General features: G+C 35.4%; 1 protein-coding gene across 11 annotated transcripts in view, besides 3 other annotated features; it reads right to left on the bottom strand.

The window, feature by feature from the left end:
• Positions 1–27,580, bottom strand: part of WDR7 (WD repeat domain 7) — a 385,248-nt gene that overhangs the window by 23,524 nt on the left and 334,144 nt on the right. For 2 of the 11 annotated variants that reach the window (XM_011525888.3, XM_047437422.1), the window contains one exon: positions 2,771–3,245. The exons of the other annotated variants lie outside the window; for them this stretch is intronic. In XM_011525888.3, coding sequence (XP_011524190.1) covers positions 3,219–3,245 — 27 coding nt within the window. In that variant the 3' untranslated portion in view covers positions 2,771–3,218. Of the gene's footprint in view, positions 1–2,770; positions 3,246–27,580 lie in introns of those variants that run through there. 11 annotated transcript variants of the gene reach the window in all.
• Positions 163–663: an enhancer, noted in NCBI's record as "H3K4me1 hESC enhancer chr18:54679651-54680151 (GRCh37/hg19 assembly coordinates)". NCBI's record gives its function as "activates a minimal SCP1, AML or CMV promoter by ChIP-STARR-seq in naive H9 embryonic stem cells {active_cell/tissue: H9 hESC(naive)}" and the evidence as "EXISTENCE:reporter gene assay evidence [ECO:0000049][PMID:30033119]".
• Positions 8,056–8,105: an enhancer, noted in NCBI's record as "active region_13365". NCBI's record gives its function as "activates an Ori minimal core promoter by ATAC-STARR-seq in GM12878 lymphoblastoid cells {active_cell/tissue: GM12878}" and the evidence as "EXISTENCE:reporter gene assay evidence [ECO:0000049][PMID:35858748]".
• Positions 25,562–26,411: an enhancer, noted in NCBI's record as "OCT4-NANOG-H3K27ac hESC enhancer chr18:54653903-54654752 (GRCh37/hg19 assembly coordinates)". NCBI's record gives its function as "activates a minimal SCP1, AML or CMV promoter by ChIP-STARR-seq in naive H9 embryonic stem cells {active_cell/tissue: H9 hESC(naive)}" and the evidence as "EXISTENCE:reporter gene assay evidence [ECO:0000049][PMID:30033119]".

The following is a 27,580-nucleotide window of genomic DNA, read 5'->3' as shown; positions in this document are numbered from 1 at the left end:
ATGGAAAACTTGTCTTCCATGAAACTGGTCCCTGCTGCCAAAAAGGTTGGGGACTGTTGCTATAGAGAATTCAAAAAGCATACTAAGAAGGCAAACTTTTGTAGCATGTATGATATGCCAGGTGCTGTTCCAGACACTTTTACATAAACTTTTTAATCTTTACATATCAACCCAATGAGATAAGCAGACTATGTTATTCCCCACCTCATAGATGAGGGGACCGAGGCACAGGGAGGTGCGATAACTTGTTTGGGTTAGAATCCAGGCAGTCTGGGGCCAGAGTCTGCTGCCTCACAGAATACCAGGTAAAAGAAAGCTATGAACTGCTGGATCTTCAATTTCCGTAGCTTGACTTTCCTACAGCTGAGAAAGTCTTATGTATATTATACACTAACACTTATAAGTGACTTCGCCACACCAAATAACAAAGACCTTGAGTGATGTCTGGTGGTGCTTGGAGGCTGGGTGCAGCCCCAGCCCAGGCAGCTACAGCAGGGCTGCTTGGAAACAAGAGCTTGTGGCGGTGCTGGAGCTTGCCCGGCAGAAGTGTCCGTCTCCTCATTCTGGACAGGCAACAGTCAGCCAGGCCACCTTGCAGACCCTTCTGAATTTCAGGGGACCTCGCAGAACCCCTAGACTCCCAACCCCATGTGGCATGGAGGTGGCTTCCACATACACAGGAAGGTCCCTGGATTGGCCCAACCTCCCTTCCTATCCTGGTGCTGTCCTGGTCCACGGCAATCTCCCCTACCCTGCCATCCCTGTGAGGACGGCTGGGATGACAGCACTGCCTGGGACATAGGAAGCCCATTTTCCCAGGGTAGTCCTGCCTTCGTGTGGGGTGAGGCAGGGTCCACTGGCCCACTGTCACAGTGAGGATGAAGAAACACTCTTTTATTTGACCCACCTCCAGGAGTTCAAACCTCTTAAAACAGAGTTGTCCTGGCCTTCTTCACTGGCTAAGGAGGAGGAAGGCACCTGTGTTGATTTCCCCAGATACCCAGGCCAGGTTACAGAGATGGTAGCCCCATCTCTCTCACCAGCAGCCTCCCTCCCTGGTCCTCAGTGCCTGAAGGTTTTCACCCTCCCATCAGCTTGTCTGTACCCCCAAAGAGGCAATATCTTCCTACAAGGACCATAAATAAGCACTTTTTAAGTAAAGGATAATTAGAGTTAGGAACCTGTTTCTTTCTCACTTGGGACGCAAAATATAAAAACTAAAAATATCGACCAAAATGGAAGTACATGGTAAATGCAATCCTAAAACTCTCTAGTATTGAAAAGAACTCAGCTTTTCTTATTGGGTGTACTATCTCCTATAGTCTACGCACATAAGACTAGATGCTGCCCTTTGGCAGTTCTACAATGATTTTGAACAGAGATTTGAGAGTTGAAAACCGAGTGTTTATCTCTATAATTTCTTTTCTTGATGGAGGGCTGAGGCAATGCTTTTTATTCACATTATGCCAACTTTATGTTATAAAGTCAACCTGTTTTGGCATTTTCCAAGCCAAGGTATTGAAACTATTCAATGAATTATTTTCTATCACCATCTAATTGAAAAGAATATATATTCAGAGGGAAAAACAAGTAGACTTGATATCATTTTAACATCTTAATGGAAAATAGATTTAAGGATAAATATAATAAAGTGAGCTATCTTAAGTTTTATTGTAAGATATAATGCCTCAAGTAAACAGGCTCTCTTTATTTCTTAAAACTAGCTTCAGTGTTTACTGCTCATTTTCAGTTACTAAAAGTTACGTATATGTCATTCGAGGACAAACTGACATTGATGAATTGAAAGAGCTTTTCACTACCTACATATTGACAATCCTTATGATGCAAGTAATAGTTTTCAATATTTCTTCTGTGGGGGGGTTATATATTAACATGCATGTGCATATGCACATATACACATACAACACCCTTATCTAGGAATAGTGAGAATCAAAATACATGCTCAAAACTATTGTATTATTGTAATTTTGACATTCCTAATAAGTTTTTTATGGTATCGAGGCTTATATTTTCACTAAGATCCTTTATAAATTATCAAAATTATTTTTAAAAGGAAGTTTTATGAATAGAAAAATAGAGAATAAACATTTAAGCCAATCGTTGCTTACCAAACTTAAAAACGCTGTAATCATCATACAGCAAACTCTAAAAAATAGGTACTGATTTTAGGAGCATTTTCCCTTCGATTTAACTGGGAAACTTCCAGATTCAAAGAAAAGTTCTCCATCAATTAGACATTAATTCACCTATTAATGTCTAAGCCCTTCTTTCCCCTTTTCTTGCTGCAGATAATCAGGAACTAGCCTTGCTCTTCCCTGTTCTTCTGATTTATTAGGCCCAATATTTCCAGGATAAAGTAACAATAGAATATCCAATTAAATTATACATAATTGATATGTCTTTTCTTTGCATGTTGAAATGATTAATTATATAGAATCATACTTTGAAAATTAGGTTTGCTAAAAATCCCAAACATCACAAGTTAATATATTATATGATCACCACCAATTTTTGGCTAATAAAATGACAGCAGTATGTTTGTACTGTACAACTTTTAGACTCAATAATGATTAAAAAAGCCTAAAGACATAAATGAAAACATAACGTTTTGATATAATTTAACATTTAAAAATATAATTACACAGCCATACTTAAAGATGATTCATGGACACTCTACTGCTGAATACTAATATAATTTAGATAAATGTGGTTGTTTTAAATAAAAGAATAGTGAATAAATTATCAAATATTTACACTGCTCATATGAAATATTTATTAAAGTTTCACTTGCATATGCCTAAAAAGTCACACAAAATGTTTTCTTCAGATCTGGGCAAACCCAAAGCTAAATGTTTTTTTCAGTATTTCTAATAGAAAACTATTTGAACACATGCTAGAAGTCTTATACTGTGCTATGAAAATAAATCCCTCCCCTCCTGCTTCCACATGGAGTTCCTCAGCAGCATGAATGGTCTTGATTATCTCCACCCTTTCTAGACATTTCAGGCTTTTACATGGCAGGACTTCAGCAGACACATGTACACACTAACTCACTGGACAGCAATCACATTCCTAAGTAAATGTCCGTCATGATGGGACTTGGCATTTTCGTGGGTTTTGATTTGGGTTATGGTTAACGGAAGATGGTTTGGTTAGAGCAGTAGGTCAGGATCTTCACATGTGTTCCCGCTCCTTTGTCACCTCTCCTTTGCCTGGTATAGTGCCTGGTGACACAAAATTGTCTGATGTAGATTATAAAGCTAGGGAATTTATATTTTTTGAAATTATGTTTCAAAAGTATTTAACATTTTCACCATTCTGAAAAGAGAAATGCTTGAAAGTGTTACATTACAACATAAAATAAAATTCTAAAATTCATACATATATTAACCAACATTACCATACCTTTGGATTCATGTTTATTTTGGATAATGATAGAACATATTCACTAGGACACATTACAGATTTAGAAATTTTACACTTTTATGTGTAGTTTATTATGCCTCTTCCACTTATTAAAACTGAAAAATTAGATTAGTCTGGAACATAACCTAATTTATGTTGTATGTTGTTCTGCATTACAAGGTTCATTCCTTTTGTTAAGAAATACCAAGTTATTTAGTCATGTAACCAAACACCACCTGTTCCCCCAAAACCTATTGAAATAAAAAAACAAAAAGTGAATTCCCTTGATGATGGTGACTTCTTAGAGACTGATCTAGAATGAATACCTTCTAACTTAAAGCTCCTTTCACATTTTTACTTTTCCCAATACAATTTTAATAGTAAAACAATTGCATTGTTCAAAATAAATGCAATAAAAATATAAAGAAATACCAAGTTACAAAAAGATAAAATTAACCTTCTACTTTTGATATAACATCCAACATTTTTCTATTAAAATCATAATATTCATAAAATATGCAATATATGTCTTTTTTTCACATAGCAATTGCATTTGCAAATCTCCCAGAGTAATTACTGTGGCAAAATAACACTGACATTACTTGTCAGTCCTCTGACTTATACTTAGACTATCCACTTTCACTTAGTGGATTAAAATTTGTCTTTGCTGGTTTTATGAATAGGTAAAATTTTCTGATTTGCTTATTTGTAAAATAATATTATCTGTCTTGCCTACCTCATGGGATTAAATAGTTTTAGGAAAATGTAGTTAAAAATATTTACTGAGATTTTTGTTTTAGGTCCTGTGCAAGATATCAGAGTATAAAGATGAGATAGGACCCCTGCCAGTGAATCTAGGAATGGGAGACCAACAGGTTGACAGTAAGCGACTATGGTATGGTGCAATCAACAGCGTAATAGAGATGTGCTGAAGATGTCACAGAAACACAGACGAGGAGACAGTAGTTTCTGTCCAGCGGCAGGAGATGTCAGAAAAAGGTACAGAGAGAAGGTTGTATTTGAACTGAGCTTTAAAGGACCACCAGAAGTTGGTGAGAAGAACAAGAGATGAGTCTAAGCAAACATGTGCCAAGTGAAGACTTCAGAGGGGTCCAAGAAAACGGCCAGCACTCCCGTGTCACTCTGCCTAGGGGAGCACCAGGGGGCGAGGAGAGGTGGAGACAGGCAGGCTTGAAAACGAGGCAGAAAGGCAGCTATGGCCAGGCTATAAGCCGCCTTCTTGTGGTGTCAAGAAATGTGGACTTAATTCATAGTCAATAGAGAGTTTTCTGAAGTTTTTAAATATGAGAATGGTCAGATCAGACTAGTTTTAAGAAAATTCTGCAGAGGGTGGAGAAGAGGGAAACAGAAAGGAAGAAGGACTTGTTGGGAAGCAAATGTAGCAGAGAAATGGGGAGCTGAATGAGGAAGTGGGCATGGACAGGAAGGAGAGGGCAAGCGGGGCTGGTGGTGCTGCTGTGACCTGGACAGGGAAGGCACAAACGAAAGAAGACCCTGGGGAGGGCGCGGCGGATAGGGATCAGTGGGAAGGTGTCAGAGGAAATAATGAGCTCAGTGTGAGAATTCAGGTGGAGGGACTGAGCACACAGAAATATGTTAGAGAGTGAGGAAAATGAATTTGGAGCTTAGGAACAGGTTTATGAAAAGAAAGGCAGATTTGGGAGGAACCAGCACATAGAGAGATGTGGAAGGAATAGACCCTGCACTCAGCCCTGTTCCTGGTACACAGCAGCTTCTCCAGGAATGTTTGTTAAAAAATCCAATGTAAATGGTTGAGAAAGTCCATGAAGAGTAGATAGAGTGAAAAGACCAAAAGGATGAGGATAAAACGACAGGAGACACTAGCAGTATAAGGGGTGGGCAGAAAAGAAAGACCTGGGCTCATTGTACACATTGTAGACCTGAAATATAATATTTTATCTAATATTTTATTTTTAAATTAAATATTTCAAGGTTGTTCCCAATGTACAAATCACCTTTAAAAGAGGATTTTGTGATAAATTAATGTAGTTAATAACAAAATTGCTTTGAAGGTTGACAGTATTTAAACTTTTAAATGATAACCCTTTATCAAGTAGTAATTATCTGACTCAGAGATCAGAAAATCAATTATTAAAAAGTCAAATTTCTGCAATCAAAAACATATATTTGAATTAAATTTAACATTTTAATCTACAAATACTTGCCAACTCAAAACACTCTAATTTCTCTAATTTTAACTTTAAATTTCATCAGTTATCCACAAATTATGTTTTAGAAAGCCCAATGTATAATATACTTAAGATTTCTCCAAGTATAATTATTTTTTTCTCCAAGTATAATTATAAAAAGAAAAAATATACTATTAAACATTAGGAGGCCGGGAGCGGTGGCTCACGCCTGTAATCCCAGCACTTTGGGAGGCCAAGGCGGGTGGATCACGAGGTCAGGAGATCGAGACTATCGTGGCTAACATGGTGAAACCCCGTCTCTACTAAAAATACAAAAAATTAGCTGGGTGTTGTGGCGGGCGCCTGTAGTCGCAGCTACTCGGGAGGCTGAGGCAGGAGAATGGCGTGAACCCGGGAGGTGGAGCTTGCAGTGAGCTGAGATTGGGCCACTGCACTCCAGCCTGGGTGACAGAGCGAGATTCCGTCTCAAAAAAAAAAAAAAAAGTTAGGAAAGATAACAAAAAAGGAATTAAACTGGAACTTGTATATATTTGTGGATGTACATGCCTGTATACATACATACACACATATGTACTGGTTGCTCACTTAGATATGCAGATTCTTCTCGAACACACAAAAAAATTAACCAAATTAATGACTTTAAAAAATCTACATTAGTGATCATAATCACCAATTTGGTTTTGATACAAATTTCAATTAGTCTCTGTATTCATAAGCTAGAATCAATGCAAAAAATGCTGGATACTTTACTACTAATTATAGCCACACAATTCATATTTATATAAGCATTCCCTATAGTTTGGCCAAAGGTAATTTACCTGAATGAAAGGGAAAGTGAATATCCTATCACTAAAATTAAATTTTAGAGGAATATCTATTTAATGTTCTTAAAGTGGGAGATATATTGGCTTAAACCTTTGTATCTTTAATGCAATCATACTGCCTAATGATAAGCAAAACTAAAAGGTCAATTCATTACAAAATTCAATATTTGGACCATCAAACTCTTTAGTACTTAATAAGCAATTAATATTTGTCAATGAAAAATGTTGTGGTAATACAGGTGAAAATCAATAACACAAGCCCACTTGTTGCACTACCACTGACAAGCTATCTAAATAACTACAATCTTGAAGAAAAAAAAAAAACTGCTTTGATGTTTTAACTTATGTTCTTTCCAAGCAGACGTGAATCCTGTGATGCTCTCTGTTTATAACACAGAATGCACTTTGTTAGTAATCTGCTCATAATTACTATCATGCATGTGACCCAGAGACGTGTGCCTTAAAATAACATTCTATGCCTTATTACAGATGCTATTAAGGGCACACTTTAATACTATGCATGCTAATTTTATTCACTTTAAAGAAAAAAGCATCTAAAACTCAACCAGAAGCTTTCCATTTAATATAATATTTTCCTTTAGGAGTAAGTATATGAGAAGGTAGTTTGGACACACTTCTGAGGCTTAAAAGACTTTATATATGAACTTTGCATTAGCAAAAATAATTTTTAGTAGAAGCATAATTTTTATTTAGACCAAGCTTGTCCAACCTGTGGTCTATGGGCCACATGCGGCCCAGGATGGCTTTGAATGTGGCCCAACACAAATTCATAAACTTTCTTAAAAGATGAGATTTTTTGTTTTTAGCTCATAAGCTAGCATTAGTGTTAGTATATTTTATGTGTGTGGACCAAGACAATTCTTCTTCTTCCAGTATGGCCCAGGAAAGTCAAAAGATTAAGACACCCCTGATTTAAATATTTTTTTCTTTGAAAAACACCGGGAAAAATATAAAAAAAGAAACTAAAAATTACCTATAGTACTACTATTTTTGGGGTACTTATAATAAAACTGAAAACCCTACCCAAATATACTTACTCATCAAATCCCATCCCTCAGAAGAACCACCATAAGTCACTGGCTTACAGTCTTCCAGATTTCATATTAGCTTGTCTTTGAAATCTTAAAGTTTATCAGATTTTCCTGGTATAAACAATTTCATACTCCTATGCACTATTTTATTTTTCCATAAAAATATTTTACTTGCTCAGAGATGAGAGTCATAGTTGCCAGATCACTTTAAATGTTGAAATTAAAATTATAACATTACATGGTAAGTGTAATATTATATGGTAAATGCATGCTCCCTAAAACTGTGCTTCTGCTTTTTTTAAAAAAGGAAGATTATTAACAAAAAAAATTATTTAACATACATTTAGTTGCTTTTATAGTTTAGAAATGATAAGGACATCATTTTTTTAAACAGTTTTTTATAATATGATAATAGTTTTATGCTAAACATTTCTATTTAACAGTCAATTGAGATTAGTGGTTAGATACAGCATTGTACATTAAGATGCCTGACACGGTATTATAAAATACAGATTTTTAATTTATGACTGTTCAGGTGTCAGAGTTTATAACTGCTTTGCCAAAGGTTAAATTACAAAGGAAGTCAACCAGGAAACCCAAGAGTACTCTTTAAATATGATACAGGCCTTCAACTCAAGGTGTGAGTACGAGTTAATACAGAACTACAAATGCCATTTATGGGTTTCATCTTTGGAAAGTTTAGACTTCACTGAGAAATCTGACTCATACTTCCTGTTCCAGCTATGAAAAACTCAGAACTCAATGTCATAATGGGCTCACTGAAAGGCAAATTCTGCTTGCAAAGTTAAAAAAGAGTGAAACTGTAAGAACTGTTTTGATCTGTAAAATATTGATAACTAATATAACTTTAAATACAAGAAATCCTTCTATTTGTAGTTCTGTATATTTACTGTGTCACTCCTGGCTATTCCGTATGCAATGTGGTAATTTTTAAAATGACCTGCTAGTGACATTTTTACGTTTAGTAGGTTGCAGTGTTTCCACATGGGCAGCCATCAAATGAGAGGTCCTAAAGTTTGTTTGGAATTCAGTTGTTTGGAACTCTGCACACCTTTAAACAGGAACAATGCGACAGATAGATTTCTGGGCCAGTTTCCAAAAGCCAAGAGAATTCTTAATGTTGTAGAATTTATAGTGCCAGTTCAATCTCCTAAGTACTATTTATAATAGTTTCTATGGGGAAAAGCATTTCAAGGTCCAAGCCAGCCCCAAGGAACTTAATTGTCTACTGTAGACACCAGAGACATATAACTTCTAACATCTCTGGATATACAGGAGGAATATATGTGTGGTACTAGGCCAGGGTGGTATGTGTGGGATGTCAGAGGGAAGTATGAGATTACCTATCTGGAGCTCCTAGATATTAGATTCATCCAAAGCTCTAAGCTAAAATCAGGGAGACATTCATTTACCTCCTCCTACACCCATAACCTCAGGTAGAAGTTAAATTATGGGATTACTGTGTAGGCCAGGTGAGAAACCTTGGAGATTTTCTGGGTATGAATGATTACAAAGGCTAGGGTGTGTGTGTGCGCGCACACACACATACACACATGTGGAGGGTATAATATAATGCGGAGGGTATGATATAACATACATATAATGTGAAGGGTATAACACACACCCTCCATGCGGAGGGAATACTATATTCAAAAGCCTAAAGGAAGGAGAGTATAGCTTGTTGGGGAAAAACAAACAAACAAAAAGCCCTCCAGAATGATCAATATTTACAGTGCAAGGAATGAAGTGGAGTCAGATAAGCATAGTTGGCAAATTAGTCTGAAGACAGACCATAAAGGGCCCCGTGATTTTCTGTGAATATGCACTGTGAACACATATTTAACGTAAGGATTATTAAATCCAACAATCATAATATTTTAAAAAATATTTACTGAAAGATTCGTGTGATCCAAATCATTACATTTTGCATCTAATTTAACTTTGAAAAGACAGCTATTTAATACTAGATTAATCCCTGAACATTTTGCTATTTATGGAGATCAAAAACCTGAGTAACAACATGGTTTTGTTCATTCTATATTTAGAAAGTGTGTTTGAGTTTTGAGTAACAAAATGGTGAATAACTAGATCACTCTCTCTGAGTAATTAGAGAGTGCTTTTTAAAGGACTTTTTAAAGGACTTTAAAAAGAGTGCTTTTTAAATGTTGTTCAAAAAGTAACAACATTTCCTTTGAATTGAGGCAGATCTAAAAGCAAAATGTCCTTTTTTGTATTTTTTTAGTATAATTTCTATTTCAAACATAGCATTAGTCTTAAATTGATAATAGCTTTGTTTTGGAATGCTTAGATTTATAAAAGTTCTTTATGAATTTTAAACACTGAAGAAGCACAAAACACAGAAGGGGTAATTACTGAAGTTCATCCATGTTTAAGTTTGGCTTCTGTGGACACTGTAATAAATCTATACTAATGCATCTCACAAATGCCTCATAAATTTACATCTTCTTTGATTTCTCAACAATTTTCAACAATAGCAAGATGAAACTGCAGTGAAATATCAAGATGTATAATTTACATAAATGTTGTATAAAATTAATAACTGATTTTTTAAAGTCAGGCATCTTTGCACTGATTATTAGAACTGTTTAGAATGTGAACTGAATGACTTTTGATGGCTGCACACTCAAGGACAACAGTGAGTGACCTTGAACAGCAGTGTATAAAAATACATTTATCACTGAAATGGCATGCTGGCTGCCAGTCAATATATGCCTCTCATTTGTTAGGAGGCTCTCCTGCTGTGATTCCCTCATTACAATTTTGCTTTTACTTCCTGGGCAAATGACAACTAGAAAATGAGGCGGTTTCTTTCTTGACCAAACTTAATCCAGAAAAAATGAGCTGACAGCTGCAGCCATTCAAGTGTTACAGAACATTTTACACGTTTGTAAAAGACATGATTATATATTCTAAATACTATATCACTAAATGTGACAGCCAACAAGTTATCTTACTTTCTTAGTCTCTTTTCGCTTATAGAATAGCTTCTTATATCCTCTTCAATCTATTTTTCTAATTAAATAATTTCTGGTGTAGGATGCGATAAACAGTAATTCAGAGACACATTGTGGAAAACTTTCCTGGATACTTAACAAAAATGTATGCAGCTAAAGTCTGACTACAGAAATAACTCCTGTCCTAGTTTTTATGATAATTATTTTCAATGCACAGTTTACATTTTTCTAGGATGCAAAAATAGGTATCCATTTAGATAATTTATTTGTACTATATGTATGTTCATATCAATAAAGAAAATTATAGTACAGTCACATATAGGTTTAAGTTATGTTTAATTTTTTTATGTAAGCATTTTCTGACCCAAAGATTTCTAGTCTGGGTTCGAGACAACTCAGGGCATAGTACATTATCATAGACACTATGAAATTATCACAAAATGCTGAAGCTCAAAACAATTTTTCCTTTTATTTAAAAATATAGATATTATTATGGAAAGCACCTCAGGAGGGGTAAAACAAAGGGAATGAAAACCTGAACAAACAATAATAAGGTTTAGAAATAAACTCCAAAAGTAATGACTGCTCTAATCATGGGTATTTTTGCTTTTCCTTTATTTAACATGGTTAAAGAATTTCGGTTCCAGTGTAGACAGGCCCAGTTTTCTAGTTAGGGTTCATATTTGGTATTCTATATCCAGAAATTTAATATTAGTTCTTAGTAAGGAAACAGATTGAAATACAGGTTAGGCAGATAAACATAAACGTGATGCTAAGAGAAACAAGCTAGACACAAACAGTTACATGCTGTATGATTCCATTTATATAAAATTCTTAATCAGGCAAAAACCACAGTGCAAGAAAGATTGGTGATTGTCAGGGGAAGAGGACTGACTGCAAAGGGGCAGAAGGACACTTTTTGGGTAATGGATATGTTCTTATCCTGATTATGGTGGTGGTCACATGGTTGTATACATTTGCTACCACTTATCAAACTGTGCACTTAAAACAAGTGAAGTTATTTTATGTGTATTTTACCTCATTAAGGCAGTTACCTATGCCACATGCACAGAAAAATAGATACATCAGGAAAGAGTGAGTTGGAGCTTTTGTTGCTCCTGCCTGGATCCACTGAGAAATGAACATGCAAAAGGCTCACTATTGAGAGCACAAGGCTAAGGCTGTTCCCCAGAACGCATTTTCAAGTTTTCCATCAGGTCTCAACCGACAGTGCTCCCACAATTTCCCTTGGGGAAACTTAACCACAAGCTACCATTTCTCGGTAAGGATGCCTTTCCTGTAAATCTGCTGGAAGTGTTCTTCTCCTTGAATTCTTGTTCATCACTCTCTAGTAGATTTGTGTATGCCACAAGTGATATATACATATTTTTTAAATATAAGCTAGACATTTTTGCTTAATTTATATTACTAGCTATTGATTCAGGATTGCTTGTCCAAACCATTCTTAATGTTTTTATTTTTGGGCCCTAAACATAAACTTACATCTCTCTCTCTCTCTCTCTCTCTCTCTCTCTCTCTCTCTCTTTTGTAGAGATGGGGTCTCATGGTTTTACACTATGTTGTCCAGGCTGGTCTCCAACTCCTGGGCCCAACTGATCCTCCCATGTTGGCCTCCTAAAGTGCTGGGATTCACTATACATGGCCCTACATTTACATCTCTTATTGTCCACTAATATTTATATTCAACTGAAAAGCTAAAGAATTTAGAGAAATATTTTTAAAATTCCAGAATATATAAACCTCTATACGCTAAAGATTCTACACCAGAAATTTATTAAGAGCTATCTTTAATAAACAGCACAGTCCCAGAATTGACAGTCTAGCTTTTACAAGAAGAAAGCTTTTGAACATTTTCTAGAACAACAACCAAACTATAAGAAAATAATACAATCATGCACTTCCTGTGTGCATCACTGCAGTTTTAAAAGGGCTTTCCTCTTCTCTGAAGGCTTGTGAGTAGAGAGTAATCAGTTAAATAGTGCTGTTTGAGCTTACAAATGTTCAATGAGCAAATTCTCTTCCAAAAATAGATTACAAAACCACTAAAAAACAAAATGATTATGGCCCATTAGAAAAAATAAATCTTTTTACAGAATATGGTACATATAGCTAAAATAACCCAACAAAGGGGCACAGGAAACAAAAATAATATTCAATGAAGGCAGAAAAAAATCAATATTTTTATATCGTGCTTAATTGACACCTTTTTTATTAAGAAAAACAGGAAATTAAATAATACAGGATCAGTGGAAATCAGCAAGAATACGATTCATTAAGCCTTCTCTTCTTCTTGGCCACTGAATTACTTCTGGTTTATAACAGGCTTTTAAAAGTATAAATGTGATTTTAGTTAATTAAATACAAATACTAATAAATCTCTTTTAAACTACTTCATAAAGGGAAGGATTATACTGTCAGGATTTTGGTTTACTGACATTCTCCCTGAATGTTTCCATACTAGAGCTCTTATTCTATGACTAAAAATATTTGGATACTTCCAATTCTTCATGCCCAGTCTGCTCCCAGCTGAGGAAATTGTGGTACGCTGGCCAGCTGCAGCACTGTTCCAGGTCCAGAGGATAGGAATTTGTCACAGAGAATTCTGCCTCAAATGCAACTGAAGTGGAGGGAATTTTGTTGACAGGAGAAGCTCATAGCGGTCAAAAGATGGGAGATCCCTTCTGTTCAGAGAACTATCTTGACAAGGCCTTGGGTGGTCCGTTCTCTAGGGGGGTTTTCTAGCAGTCCTATTTCTGCCCCAGCTACAAGGTTCTCCGCAGTTTTCTACTTTTCTTGCCATCCTTCCTCCTGTCTCCTTGGTATTGTTGGATTTATTGTATAAGATGATAGTGTAAGAGCATTAAATTTGCATTAGTTTCTGTTATTTTTCCTTAGTTGTTTTCTCTACTATAATATATCTCTACCTTTTCTCAGCTGTCAACACAAAGAACATCTTTCCTTGATAAGTGCCCACCACCCTTTTTTCTAGAGATTTTTCAAGGACTTAGATAGCCCAGACTAATATAGGGGCTGACATCATGGAGAAAGATTAAAAATAATTTTTTACTTCTCTTTCCTATTATTTTAGTCACCTCAGAATAAGTGGTTTAAAAGAGTTCTATGGATTTCTCTTTCTGTTCAACTGAAGTTTAATACATAAACCATTATCACTACTTCATATATATTTCCTAATATTTACTTATTCCTAAAATATTTATCTCTAATATCTCCACCCATCTAACAAATTTAACTTTTCTATATTTCTGTATTCAAAAACATTCCCCCAAACCCTAAATTCTTCACCAGGCTTCTTCTAACACACACAGTACAAAGAAACCAGATGGATTTTGTAGAATATGAAAAGACTTAGAACTCTGTTATTGTTTGCCATGCAGCCTCACATCAAACTAAAAGGTTATACTGTGAGGATTTCATTTCACTGACAGCCTCTGTAAACTTCTTCACACTATATTTGCGAATATAAGATTCCATAAATATTTTCATAACTCTGACTTCTTCCTGCAGGACATCCCCAGACATTGGAAATTGGAAATAATACCTTATATATGACACATTATTCATACTAGTAGTTGGAAAAACTGTTGCTAAAAGCTTGTTTTCTTCAGCTATTAAGCGCTACGATGTACCATCAAGAACTTGGGACAATCAAGAATAAGGCCTGCCATTTCTTAAGTATTCAGTATTTTTAAATTTTTAAAATATATGCTCTCATTTTATAAGTAGAATAATCACTTATTTCTCTTATATAAATAGCCACTTAAATCACATTCAGACCCACAAAAAAAGACTATTCCTTGGGTAAGAAAGATGACATTCTATGTACACAATTTAGTACATTTAATTTTTAGTGACTTGCTTTTGTATAATGACATTTTACAAAGATTTTAACAGTTATTGTATCATTTGATGGCAAACTCATTGAAGTGGACCTTCTAGCTTCAGCTCATATTCCTTAATAGAATTCTATGTGGGATGTGCTATAAAAGCAAACAGCAGAGTAAAGAAGTACAGAAGTTAAACGATTAATTCAAAGCTACTAAGACCACTGTTTTCAAGTCTGCTGATAGAGTTTAACTCTTTCCCTGCAGATCATTATGTCCCACGAAGTATGCCCCGACTCCCATGTTTTAGGAAGGTCTACTTTGGCCCAATGTTATCAAATAGAACCCATAAAATACCTGCATTATGCCTACAATTGCAGAGTCAAATATATGTGCAGAGAGATGGCAGCAGTTGACCTTTGCTGCTGTGATGCCCAGTGAAAATCCTGGGGAACGAGCACAGCTCCCAAGAGACCCGAGTTTAAACCCAATCTCTCATGGGTCTGAGAGAGTAACACAGGCACAAAAATTACGGATACCTAAGTCTTCACTGCTTATACCTTGGGGCTTTTTGATATCAAACTTTTGAAAAATGACCTCAGCACTCTCCTCCCAGGTTTTAGAAGCCCCATGATGTCCAAATATACACCTGATTTGTCTTCACTCCTTTGCTTTGTTTTGCACAGAACATAAAGAAAGCCATACATGATAAGAAGTGTGGCTTCTCCGCTGCTCTTCATCCTTCCTGGAAAGATGATCAAGAAAAATGGCTTATCTAATATCAGATCCAGGAGGAAGGAAAGTTTTATAACACAGACACATACACGTTTATGATTTAATCAGGAGACATATAATTGAATTTAAAAAACTGCAAAGGAGAAAGGCTGATTACCTTCTCCAACACTTTTAGCTCTTGCTATATACATTTTACATCCCACTGTTATAGGCCGCTATTTGCTCATCTGTTTATACTCTAAGTAATTTATTCATCTTTCTTCTGAAAAAGATGGAATCTAGAGATCAATCCAAGTGCCAAAAAAAATCCCAAGATGAATTAAAATATATTTTTTACAAGGAGTGAATAATTTTCAAAGGCTTTAAAAAAAGCTGTAGGTTATATCTGTTTGTTTTTAAGAAGCCCTAAATAAACAACTTTTCCCTACCTCCTTTGGTTGACAAGGTCTTCGTTATTGGTCCAAATAGAGATAAGCACCCTTTGGATAATTCAGCATAACTCTGTATTTCACTTTGTCAGGCAACAACCCACCCACATAATATTTACAATAATGCATTAACTTCTGGTTTGAGTCATTAATACCCAACCTTACAAGTCAAATAGTAAATGCCCCCCAGATCTGACCCATGGGGAAATTCAAGAATGAACGTTGTCTTCTCAGCAAACACTGTGGCTTTGCCTGAGATGTTTACAAGTGTGATAAACATTTATTTTTTTCTATATCTGCCACTACTGTGAGATTATTGATCAAATCATAGTTGAAAACACTCTGCCAGGGAGCATGGAGAAGAATATGTTGTTTCTGAAAAGTAATTGCTTCCTTTCCTCTGAACAATTCATTGTTTATCCAGGTTTGTTTTAAATTTGATTTTTTAAGGTCTCAATGCAAGTCATACTCTAAGATGCTCAGAAAATTAAGTATTTAAATTCCATAATTTTCACTAACAGTAAATTCATATGATACTGTTTCTGGTTAAGATATGTTATTCTTTGTTACTCCTTTTGTATTAAGCTTAGAAAAGATCCAGTTTTTTTTTCTTCTTCTTAGTATATTTGCAGGTAAATTTTATAGAATATCATGTGCGTTTTTCTACTCAAGTGAAACATTAGCAAAGCATTTAAAAATAAGTTTAAGTGCTATATGACAGTTACAGGCTAAAAATAATGAGGAATATTTGTGGATAGGTAGATATGGAACATCCTGCTGTCTGCTGAAAGCCTGATTTTAAGCTCCATTTTGTACTGATTGAAAGCTGAAGGAAGTAATGAGGCAGCCTCCCCTGCCCACTTCCTAATAATTCTGGGCACTTCTAACTCCACTGAGGGTTCTATTAGACTAACTGCCTCAAAGTTGAAAGGAAAACAAAATTTTTACCAGACATCGTCTAATTCTACATGATTTCCTAATCTACCAGCAGCCTAATTTTATTTCTATCCTAGCTGATAACCTTTTGGTTACAACCATTTGTCAAAACTACTAAAAATTTTACATTTCCAAATTAAGAAATGTAATCTCTCTGATAAATTTGGTCGTAATACTGTTTTATCTTTCTGAAAATGTAATTTCTAAATGCTTTCTATGATGTATGAACTATGCAAAAGTCTCTTTCAAAGCCCCAGAATCTATTAGATGAATCCCTTATTTCTTCTCTCTATAATTATATGCACAAAAGAGCATGCTTTATATAGAATCTAATCTTTCCTTTTAATTAGGTTCACCTAAAAAAGAAAAAAGAAAAAAAGAAGCAGTTACCAGCTCTCACACAGACAGTAGATGCTTGATGAACAATTTAGGAGCAGAAACAGATTCTCAATCAATTTATATTACAGGAAATTTTTAATTCATGTGTAAATTAATCAGGGTAAGAAGAGATCACAGTCAGCTCCTTATTAAATACTTCTAAACTCACTTTAAAAAGTGGGACATGCTGATGCTCCATATCCCTTTGGCACATCTCAAATTATTGCTCTATTCTGACCTTTGGAATCATTACGCCTGAAAAAAAACAAGTGGCCCAGGTACCAAATGTGCATTAATTCCAACCACCTGCTCTGTGGAGCCCAGCTTCTATATGTATAGCACAATGGACAAAATAGCTCTTCACCTGCAGACCCCATTCTATCTCCATGACAATGCCTTGGGAAAGGAACCCACGGACATGCACACATCACACCAAGCTCAGAGAGCTGACGCTGGGACTCAGTCTGGGGATGTAGTACACACAGACAGGAGGCAGAGGTCAGAGGAACATCAGAAACAGGGAGGATCCCTGTGGGTTCTAGTAGTTCTCATGAAATCTCAAGTGAAAATAACTTTGTAATGTTTTGTGGTATAAAGGACTAAATTTTAGAAATTTGGGATGAATGACTGGAGGTGGAGGATGAAAGAAAAGCAAATCTACGAATTTAGTTAGAACTAGGAAAAGTTCAAAAATAGGCGATTATGAACATGACTTAGAAAAAAACTGTGATGTCAAATAATCTCAGCAGTGTTTACTGAATACAGAATGAGTGATGTACGGAACATACTTCTTAGTACATGTAGATCTACTTTCAGTAGTATGCAATTCTGACTATCAATCAGATCCTTCCCCAACCCTAATAGATGCTACACATTCTACAATCATTTATACCATGCTTAAATGAAACCACATATTTCATACCCTTAAAAACTTGTTTCTGCCATGGAATATCAGGGAATAAGCATTTTGAAGAGGAACCCATCCTATGAATTCAGGTAAAATGTGTGTTTCTGAGGAAATAGGCAGGATTTTACCAAAAGGTTTCTCAATGTCCTCCTCTATCTTAATTTATCCTATAACTATAGGCAGTTACTAAGCACACCAGTAACCCCTTTCAGAATTTAATATCCTTAGCTTTATACCAGACTCAGAAAATATAGAAGTCTGAGTTTCAAAAGGAAGTTTTTTTTCTCTCATATTCTAGCTTAAATTATTTCAACACAACAAATACGAAGAGCAACTAAAAAAACTAAATTGTTTTAGCAACTTAGATTCTAAATTTGATAATTTAATTCACGTGAGAAATGCACCACTGGTTCCTGAAATTTTTGTTGAAAGAATTAATAAATTACTAGAAATTTAACACTGTCTAGCCTCTGGTGAGTTTGTAAAATCCTCTGTTAAAATCTTGAAGCCTAGAACTCTGGATGCTAGAATGAAGAGAAGCTATGCTATTAGTGGGTTTGAAAGACTGAATGTGTGCTAGAGTAGCATGCAATGGGATTTTTCTTCCCATAATGATCACTACAGGGTATAGTTCATGGATAGATGGTTTACCAAGATAGGATGCTGAAAATCTTGCTACTTATTTTAAAAGCACAGAACCTATTCAATTATGCCCTTGCAAAAGTAAACATATTCAGCCAACATCATAAGAGTTTGCAATTAAATTTTTCAGGGAAAACTTTAGGAGAGAAAACACACAAAAAGAAAAAATTCCCAGGACTTATGTGAACAAACTCTTTTTTTTAAAAAGATGAGAGAGCACATTTAATGGTAAAAATTTAACAGAATCATTGAACAAGTAACTCAGAAATGCTACAAGCATAACAAAACTCACATGTTTCCAAGGATTTTCACTTACTTCAACAGAACATACATAACACACACAGAATACAATGAAAATGCCCCTTTAAATAGTAATGAATGGGCTGGTGCAGTGGCTCAAGCCTGTAATCCTAGCACTTTGGGAGGCTGAGGCAGGCAAATCGCTTGAGCTCAGGAGTTCGAGACTAGCCTGGCCAACATGGAGAAACCCCATCTCTACAGAAAGAATACAAAAAAATTAGCCAGGCGTGGTGGCGTATGCCTGTAGTCCTAGCTACTTGTGGGGCTGAGGTGGGAGGATTGCTTGAGCCCAGGAGGTCGAGGCTGCAATGAGCCAAGATGGTGACACTGCCCTCTAGACTGGGTGACACAGTGAGACCCTGTCTCAAGAAGAAAAAAAAAAAAAAAGAAAAAAAAAGTAATGGATGAAAAAAATAAATAAAGAGTAACAGATGAGCGATGACACTTGTTCCATTCAAATCAACGACAATATAAAGTAAGCGGTATACTAGTGAGGAACACTATGTCTCCCCAGGCACCTGCCTACAATTGACTGGCAACAATTTATCTGTTTGATTTCTGCCAAATATGTATCCAGTAATCCGAAGATTATCCTCTGAGATGACTGATCACTTTACAGGAAAATATCATTCCTGTGAAGGGGTTTCCTATAAATTCGGATGAACAGGAAAAACACACACTCATCTCCCTCCCGCATCCCACCATCTTCCCTAGACAAAAGCTCCTTTTGACAGCCTGAACAAAAATGCTTTGCTAACACACTTAAAATGGAGCATTTACAGAGTTAAAAGCTGAAAAGGCCTATCCTGGGAGATGGAGGGAAATTAGATACATTTCTGCATTTCTTTTGATACAAATTCAATTTTTTAAGAGCCTTTACCCTAGACACGACGTCACACTTTTTACGATAATAAAAATTTAAAATCACAGTACTGGATGATGTGGCTTCAAGAGTGGTCAGCAACTTTACAATTTTTCCAGGCAGCCTCATCTCATTATAGCAGATGGCATCATTCCAAAAGAAAATAAAAGAAAAAAATTAAATTGATTACTATGTCAACCTTGGCATCCATATGCCAAATTGTTTTTTGATAAGAGCTAAGTATTAGGTAGAAACTCGAGAAAAATTATTTTCTCAATTCCAAATTCTTGCTATAAGAATTTCTTAAGTTCATAGATGCATATTTAAACAATCTGAGTATTTCCAAAATAACCAGCTTTTAAACTTTCCTTCTAAGGAGACCAATTTATTCATCTACTAAGTACCTTGTTTCTTCCCTCAAATTACTCCATTTCATCTAAACTATTTGTCACATATGTAAAAACAGATATAATATATAGTCAATTACCAGCAATAGAGCTTTGGGTTTGAGTTTGGGAGGTGTAGAATTTCAGAAAATGTTAGGTTATTACAGCAGTGAGTCAGCTTGTAGTTTGAATCAGCAAGGATCATTATCTATCAAAACATCAGTATGGTTTACCTACTGCTCTCATTCAAGCCCCAAATGAGGACAAACAACTATCCAGACCTGGGACATGTCTCTTCATGAGAAACTTACCAAATGCATGCTGTAGGTTCTTTTAACTATCGTATCCCTGAACTTCTAGTTCAGTGAAATATTTGGGAATTGATTGGATTGGCTTAGAGAAGTCACAGGACAAGACTGAGGAAGACAATGCGCCAGAAAATGTCTGGTTCATCATACCTTCATTTGACTAGGTTTGCATTACATCATTTTTCAAAATAATTACTATCTTTTACCTGGAATAGTTCTCCATTACCGTTATATGTTCCGTGTGGCCCTAATGTTAACTTCCAATTCATACTCCTAATTAAGACATAGACCTTTTCAGAGTTTTGTTAAAAATATGTTAATTTCTACTTTTGGCCAAAATTCAAGCTTTAATATTAATTTTAAAATTAGCTTAAGAAAGTTCACTCCTTTGGGAATAATCTCTGTATGCAGTCTCCACACTATCCCATATTTGCCTTGATACTGGTCCTATCATTTTTGAGATAACCAAGTTTGTTAAGAAACATTCCACATAGATAATTTCATCATCATAAAGATATTCCATAGTTTCTTCCCATAGACATTTAAATTCACCAAGTGACAAGTTGCTCTGTTCTATCGCTAGTTACATAAAGAAGGCAGGCACTCTCAGCTTTCCAGCTCTAAAGCATTCATATTAATGCATTTTGCTACTGATAGGTCTAGCTCGGAATAGATTCTTAGGCTGAAGGAGTGATTACAGAAGATCAGTTGTCTTAAGATAGGTAAGGAAAAAGGAAGTTGTTATTTGATTAGCTAAATTATTCTTTTTCATTATGAGTACTTTATAAAATTAAACAGCATGGGCTTGAGGTTATTTTACACTGAGCAGGACTCGTTTTCTATTTTAATTGATTAATATGATTAATTAGAAGAAGAAATGGAGAATATTAAAAATCAGGCAAAATACATTTGTAACAAAAATAATATATTTTGAAAGCCATGAATAGTCTGAACATTTTATTAAATTACACATGAACTCATAATGGGAAACTGAACTGACAGATACAGATCATCTCTCTCCATTAACAGTTTGTTCTTAGAGATCGCTGGGATCACATTTTAAAGCAGGGTATTAGTATTCACAATTTAAATAATATCTTGGGCTGTTGCCAATAAGCCACATTTCAAATAAAGGTATCAGTTATGGAGAGTTCAACAAAGACAGATTCCTTTTTCTTTCTTACTCTATAATCACTCACACTTCCAAATCCATAGCTATGGACTGCCCACAGGCTCAGTGTTGTCCATAAACCTGTTTTGTTTGGTCCACATAATGTCTAAAATTTTTAGAGTTCTTTTTTCCCCCCAACAGGGTTAGGCAATCTCTAGTCTCATGGTCCCTTGCCTCCTTCAGGATTACTCCAACTCTCATTTGGCCAGTTTCTCCAATATTTAAAAAATGAGGCCGGGCATGGTGGCTCATGCCTGTAATCCTAGCACTTTGGGAGGCCAAGGCAGGCGGATCACGAGGTCAGAAGATCGAGACCATCCTGGCTAACACGGTGAAACCCGTCTCTACCAAAAATACAAAAAATCAGCCGGGAGTGGTGACGGACGCCTGTAGTCCCAGCTACTCGGGAGGCTGAGGCAGGAGAATGGCATGAACCCAGGAGGCGGAGCTTGCGGTGAGCCGCGATCGTGCCACTTCACTCCAGCCTGGGCGACAGAGCGAGACTCCGTCTCAAAAAAAAAAAAAAAAAAAAATGAGGAGAAGGTGTACGGTAGCTAGTAAGAGGTGGTGCTATCTTCATAAGTTGTGTCCAAAGCTGAGAAAGGCACATGCCCTGACTTTCATCACAGGAGAACAGGCAGTGAGCAACCCAACCTGAATGGGAACTGAATGGAATGAGAATCAGTCTAGTACCTAACAATACAATTTGGTGTACTAGTGAGGTAGTAAGTAGTTGTTGGGTTTAGGAATAAGTGAGGAAAGAAGAGAACCCGGAATGGGGAAATGGCATATGCAAAGGTCCTGGGGTGAGAGAGAAAAGCTGAGATTGAAATAACAACAACAAAAAGTCAGCTGGTGTAGCCTGAGCACAGAGGCTGCAGGGGAGAGCCTGGTGAGAAAAAGCTGGAGCAATAGGTAGGAGGGTAAGACAGAATAACTATGGTATATATAAGTAAAGCTTACCTCCTAAGTATTATTAGTAATATAAACATTTACATCAACTCAGCCTTTATAATATTTGCATTTTAAAATCATGATGGAAACTTTTCCAAGTGTACAACAGCAGACAGAATAGTACCTATAATGAACCTCTGTGTACCCTTTGCCCAGCTTTAGCATAATTTTGCTTCATCCAGGTTCATCTTCTTTTTCCCCCTCTCATATTGTTTGAAAGAAAACCTTAGAAATCATATGTTCTCATCTATAGGATGTTTGTTTTTAATGTAACTTCCTACTATTGTGAAAAAGAAGTTTAAAATGAAACGTAAAGGTGGAGTGAGGTGGCTCTCACTAGGCTCTGGAGAAGCACAAGGATTCCCATATGGGCTTTTGGTCCACAGCACCTCTGATTCCCTGATTGCTCCAAGTTCCTTTCCTGCTAGGCAACACTGGCAGCAGCTTCTACTGCCACTCACCTAAGGACTTCAGGTCTTTGTTTCAGACAGTTTTACCTGCCATGAATGGCAATGCAGTTCACGCAATGAAAGGAGAATTCTTGGGTCTTCAGCTCTGTGCCCTTTGGTTTCCTGGATTTAATTCCAAATTCTATGCTTTTATATACCAGCAATTTTGTTTATAGTTTTCTGCTTAGGATGGCCTAATCTTTTTAAAAACCAAAATTAATTAAAAAATAGGAATAGTAAGGAGTCAGCTTATGCTTTAAGAAGTGTTAACTTTCCACTTAAAGAAAGACATTAGTTTTACATGGTCCTGTTTGCTCATTTAGTGGACACTTACTATAGACTTGGGTTTGATAAATATTTTAGTTTAAAATCCAAAGACTGTTTTAAGAATGAACAAACTCAGCCATGTAAGTGATGAAGGCTGGGTGCCATCGAGAGAGCAGTCAAGGTTTAAATAATATTCTGGACATTTTCAATGTAGGAACTGTACCTACGGGAATAAAGGTAAGCTTGGAAACTTATAATTCTTATTAAGAAAAAAATACTCTATTGAGACAAATAAAATTACAGGTATAATCAAGTATCATAAGTTATTTAAAAAATAAGCACCAAAAGTCCTGGCATTTTTGGTTGATAGAAATTCTTCCTAAAAAAGTCTTTCACTTCGCCAGGGAAGTTATTATTTTAATTTCATAAGTAGATTAATAGTTTCAGCATGCATTAAATGCCTAACTACTTGACAAGACCTTCTGAAAATTGCATACAAATTAGAGTAGAAGTTGTACTAAGAAGAATTTTAAATCTCTATAAAATGAACAGACTCTTCCAGTTCTTATTTGAACATCAAAAGATAAAAAAGACCATCAAAGAAACTAATTACTTGGAAAAAATATCATTTTTTAAAGCCATAAGATAATTCATTTATTGGAAATTTTGTGAGGAGCTTGAGAAAAATTAACTTTCAAGGATTTTCTTTAGAATATGACATCTAAGTAAAACAAAGAACTCAACTCCTCAGTCTTATTAGCCACATATGGCTAATGGCTATCACACTGGAGAGTACAGACACAGAATATTTTTATCATCACAGAAAGTCCTAATGAATAATGTTGCTTTAGAAGACACAGTTAAATTCATGCTGAAAACATTATAAAATTAGCCATGGTATTCTCACCATTTTTTTTTTTTTTCAAAAAACCATACACACATATACTCCTGAGAGTTATATCTAAAAGGTGGCATCTTTTTCTCCTTTAAGAGTCAAACCAAAATTACTGTAGATAATTCAATTTTTTTCTGTTAAATACCAAATCAGAGCCAATATAAAAAAACATAAATTATTCTTCCCTGAAATATAATCAATTTACAAGAAACCGGAACAAAAACAAGGCTACAAAACTAACATTTTTCTCCATCCCCCTCTCCCTTGGTCTATTATTAACTGTGATAATTGCAAATAAGTTAAAAAGAATTTCCTAAACCAAACATCCAATTAATATTCCCTATAGAACTTCCAACTATTTAATAACTTTTTTTGAATTAAAGCACAACCATGCTTCTTCTGAATTTATAAGAATGCCCAATTTTTTTTATTGGAGTAGGGTCTATTAACTGCTGCAAAATTGCGACGACTCTATACACACACACACACACACACACACACACACACACACACACACACACTTGCCTTCCATGAGGTCTTTCTTCTGAGGAAACTTACCTTTAAAAAATAAATTTATATTTTTTTCAAAGATGTACTTGCATGTTCAACTGATACCACTTAAACAATAAAATAAAAGCTTATGGGTTTAAACTTTGGCTTATAAATCTGAGACCTGAACTAACAATTTTATAGAAGCACCAATTTGGATTGGCTGAGAAGGTGGGCAAGGAAATGTCAATTTTGCCTCAACTGGAGTGCTGCACACAGGCAGCAATGATATCAATGAGCAGCAATGTGGTATGTTTATCATGAGATAATCACACCCCTAGAGGTTTAGAAGCACTCAGCTGAACCTTATGCCTCACAACACACTTGGGGTGTCATTATCTCATGATAACCATACTCCCTGTCAAGCCTTATTGCTTAATTAGGGGTTACGAAGGTGATAAGACTAAAAGAAATCGGATGAACAGTACCTAAGATGAATGATACCTTAATCAACTTAAATCTGGTGGCTGAAGGAGGCGTGATGAACAGACACAATGAGTTACATGTTATTTTTAGAGAAATTTGTTAATAATAAATGAGGAGAAACCCAGTCTGCATTCCCAGATTATTTGAATTACATTTTCCAGGAGACATGATATTTATGATTAATAATTTAAATTGTGTTTTCACACAGTATGTAAAATGTTCAAGAAATTAATGATAACATGAAATTTAACTTTGACCTAAGATATCCAGCTTATGCATGACAGTGATTCATCATAATCCAAGCATAGGATTTAAGTATTAAGTCTGCAAGGGAACTGATCAATAACACCTACACCATGTACGATTTTAACAAAGTAACCTGAAACCAGAGACAAAAAATAACGTGATATACTCTTTACTATTTTTTTCTCTATTACACCTTAAAATAATCAAGCACAAAAGAAAAAAAATCATAGCACCAAAATGCTTTAAAAGGTTATGCCCAAATACGTAACTTTAGTTCTTTTGTTCTATTTTTATAAACAACTGCCATATTTGTGGACAAAATATAGCTTCAGATATGGTGCACTTGAAGCTGCTTTCCAATTCACTGTGAAACATCAATTATCTTTATCAAATAACAGTATCCTCATCTCAGTCCATTATCAAGATGGAGTCTTATTTTAGCTGGACTGCAGCCCTATCTGTATATCAGGGCTGGCCGCGGTGGCAGAGCGTGAGTGAAAGGCTGTGAGATAATCAATAATCATCATCAAATTGTGGTCGAAAGGTTGTGAGGATGGAAGTTTTTGATGAAACCTCACCTTTTTTTTTTTTTTTTTTTTTTTTTTGGTACAGATGATAAGGCTTAACCTTTGCAATACCTGATGATTATGTCTCAGTTAGAGGAATCCTTGTGTACACTTTCAAGTGGTTCTGAATGTCCAAAGACACACTGAAATACTTAGGCTTAAGTGGAACACAAACCTCATGCTATCAAAAACCATCAGGTGGAAGCGCTCAAAACAATTGTGAACATGGTTATTGTAAACTTGATCCGCAACTCAGACACAGGGAATTCAAACCCTGACTTACTATGGCTGTTAAATCCCTGTGAGTAAAGGTCAGCTCTGGAAGAACAATGTTTGCATAACAATAGGTAAAACACACCCTGTGGTTTTCCCAAAGGTTACTGAACTGTTGCCTAAGCCTATGGACCTTGATTTTAAAAAAGGCCTCTGCTTGAGACTTACAGGGTTTAATGGCATCTACTCTCATCCTGTGTCCTAAAATGTCATGAATTTGGCATGAAAAATGATGAGGAGATTCAATTTTTTAATTCAATAGAACAACACTAATTTGGAGGGATGAGAAGTGGAATGCCTTTTATTTTTATTTTTTTTTTATTTTCCCCCGTCATTGGGTTCTGTTTACATCAAGTGGACATAAACTGAAAGTAAATCAGCTGAGAAGCAGCTAGATTAAAATTAGGGACAACTTTGTTGTCTGGGGTTCTGTACAGATCTGTCATCCAGAGGCAGCCCACTAAGGCTATACTATATACCACCCCACCCTCTGAAGCCACACTTCTGAAAGCTTTAATTTAAAAATCCTTATTTTATAGTGGTTTGACATTTTTAAAAGCATACATTTAGAAAACTATGTATCCTTCAAACATAAAACCTATCAAAGTATGATAAAACATGAAAACTAAATCCATAAACCAGAACAAAGGAATTATCATTTCAAAATGTCAAAGTGTTGGTAGTTTGATAATACCACAGTTTAAAAGCAAGATCCTTTTCTTAAATTGCAAAATTCACTGATATAAATGGTCAAAATTTTAAACATCTTAAAGTGGTGAGCTACTAATCATTGAACATATCGCTATCAGTATTACAGTAGATGTTTTGGAAACAGACCCTAGTTCAGGGAAATCATGAAGTTGAATATGTATACACACACACACACACACACACACACACACACACACACACACACACACACAAAGAAGCTGAAATTAGCTCTATTATAATTTCCAAAGTCTGAATTTATTTAAAGTAGGTTTGTTAAAGAAAATTTTGTTCTAATGAAAACACTCTAAACAACTTCAGTAAAAAGCAACCAATTATATTAACCTAATTTGTGACCTATCTTTCCTATAAAAATGTCCAACACAAATTTAGAGTAATTGCCCCTTTTTGAGCTATATTGCCTTTCCTATAGTAACAGCAGTTAATATACATGAAAATATTTAAACTCTCTTTAAGAAACATGTACATTTTATTCACTCTACCAACAGAAAAAGCCTGTTTCTTAGGATCTCTGAGCTCCTTTTGACATGCTATAATTTCCATCAATACTTAGTGTACAATACCTGTTAATGCTAATTGTGGATTAGGAAATATATCAGAAATAATTAAAAATTAATAAAATATATAAAACCTCCAATATAAAACAATATAAAACAAAAATACATGCTCAAGGAGACCCATTTTCCACTGATTAAAGCTTCAATTAAAAAAATATTTCAAGGTAACTAAGAGGAAAGATTTTACTTGATTTTGTGTACTTGATATAGAGAAGTTAAAATGTATCTTGGAAGACATTTTGAGAATGGCAAATTAGAAACAT

This window comes from Homo sapiens, chromosome 18 (genome assembly GCF_000001405.40).
Source record: "Homo sapiens chromosome 18, GRCh38.p14 Primary Assembly".
NCBI classification, from domain to species: domain Eukaryota; kingdom Metazoa; phylum Chordata; class Mammalia; order Primates; family Hominidae; genus Homo; species Homo sapiens.
Note: the sequence above shows the minus strand (reverse complement) of the source record. Positions and strands in the feature narration are given on the sequence as shown.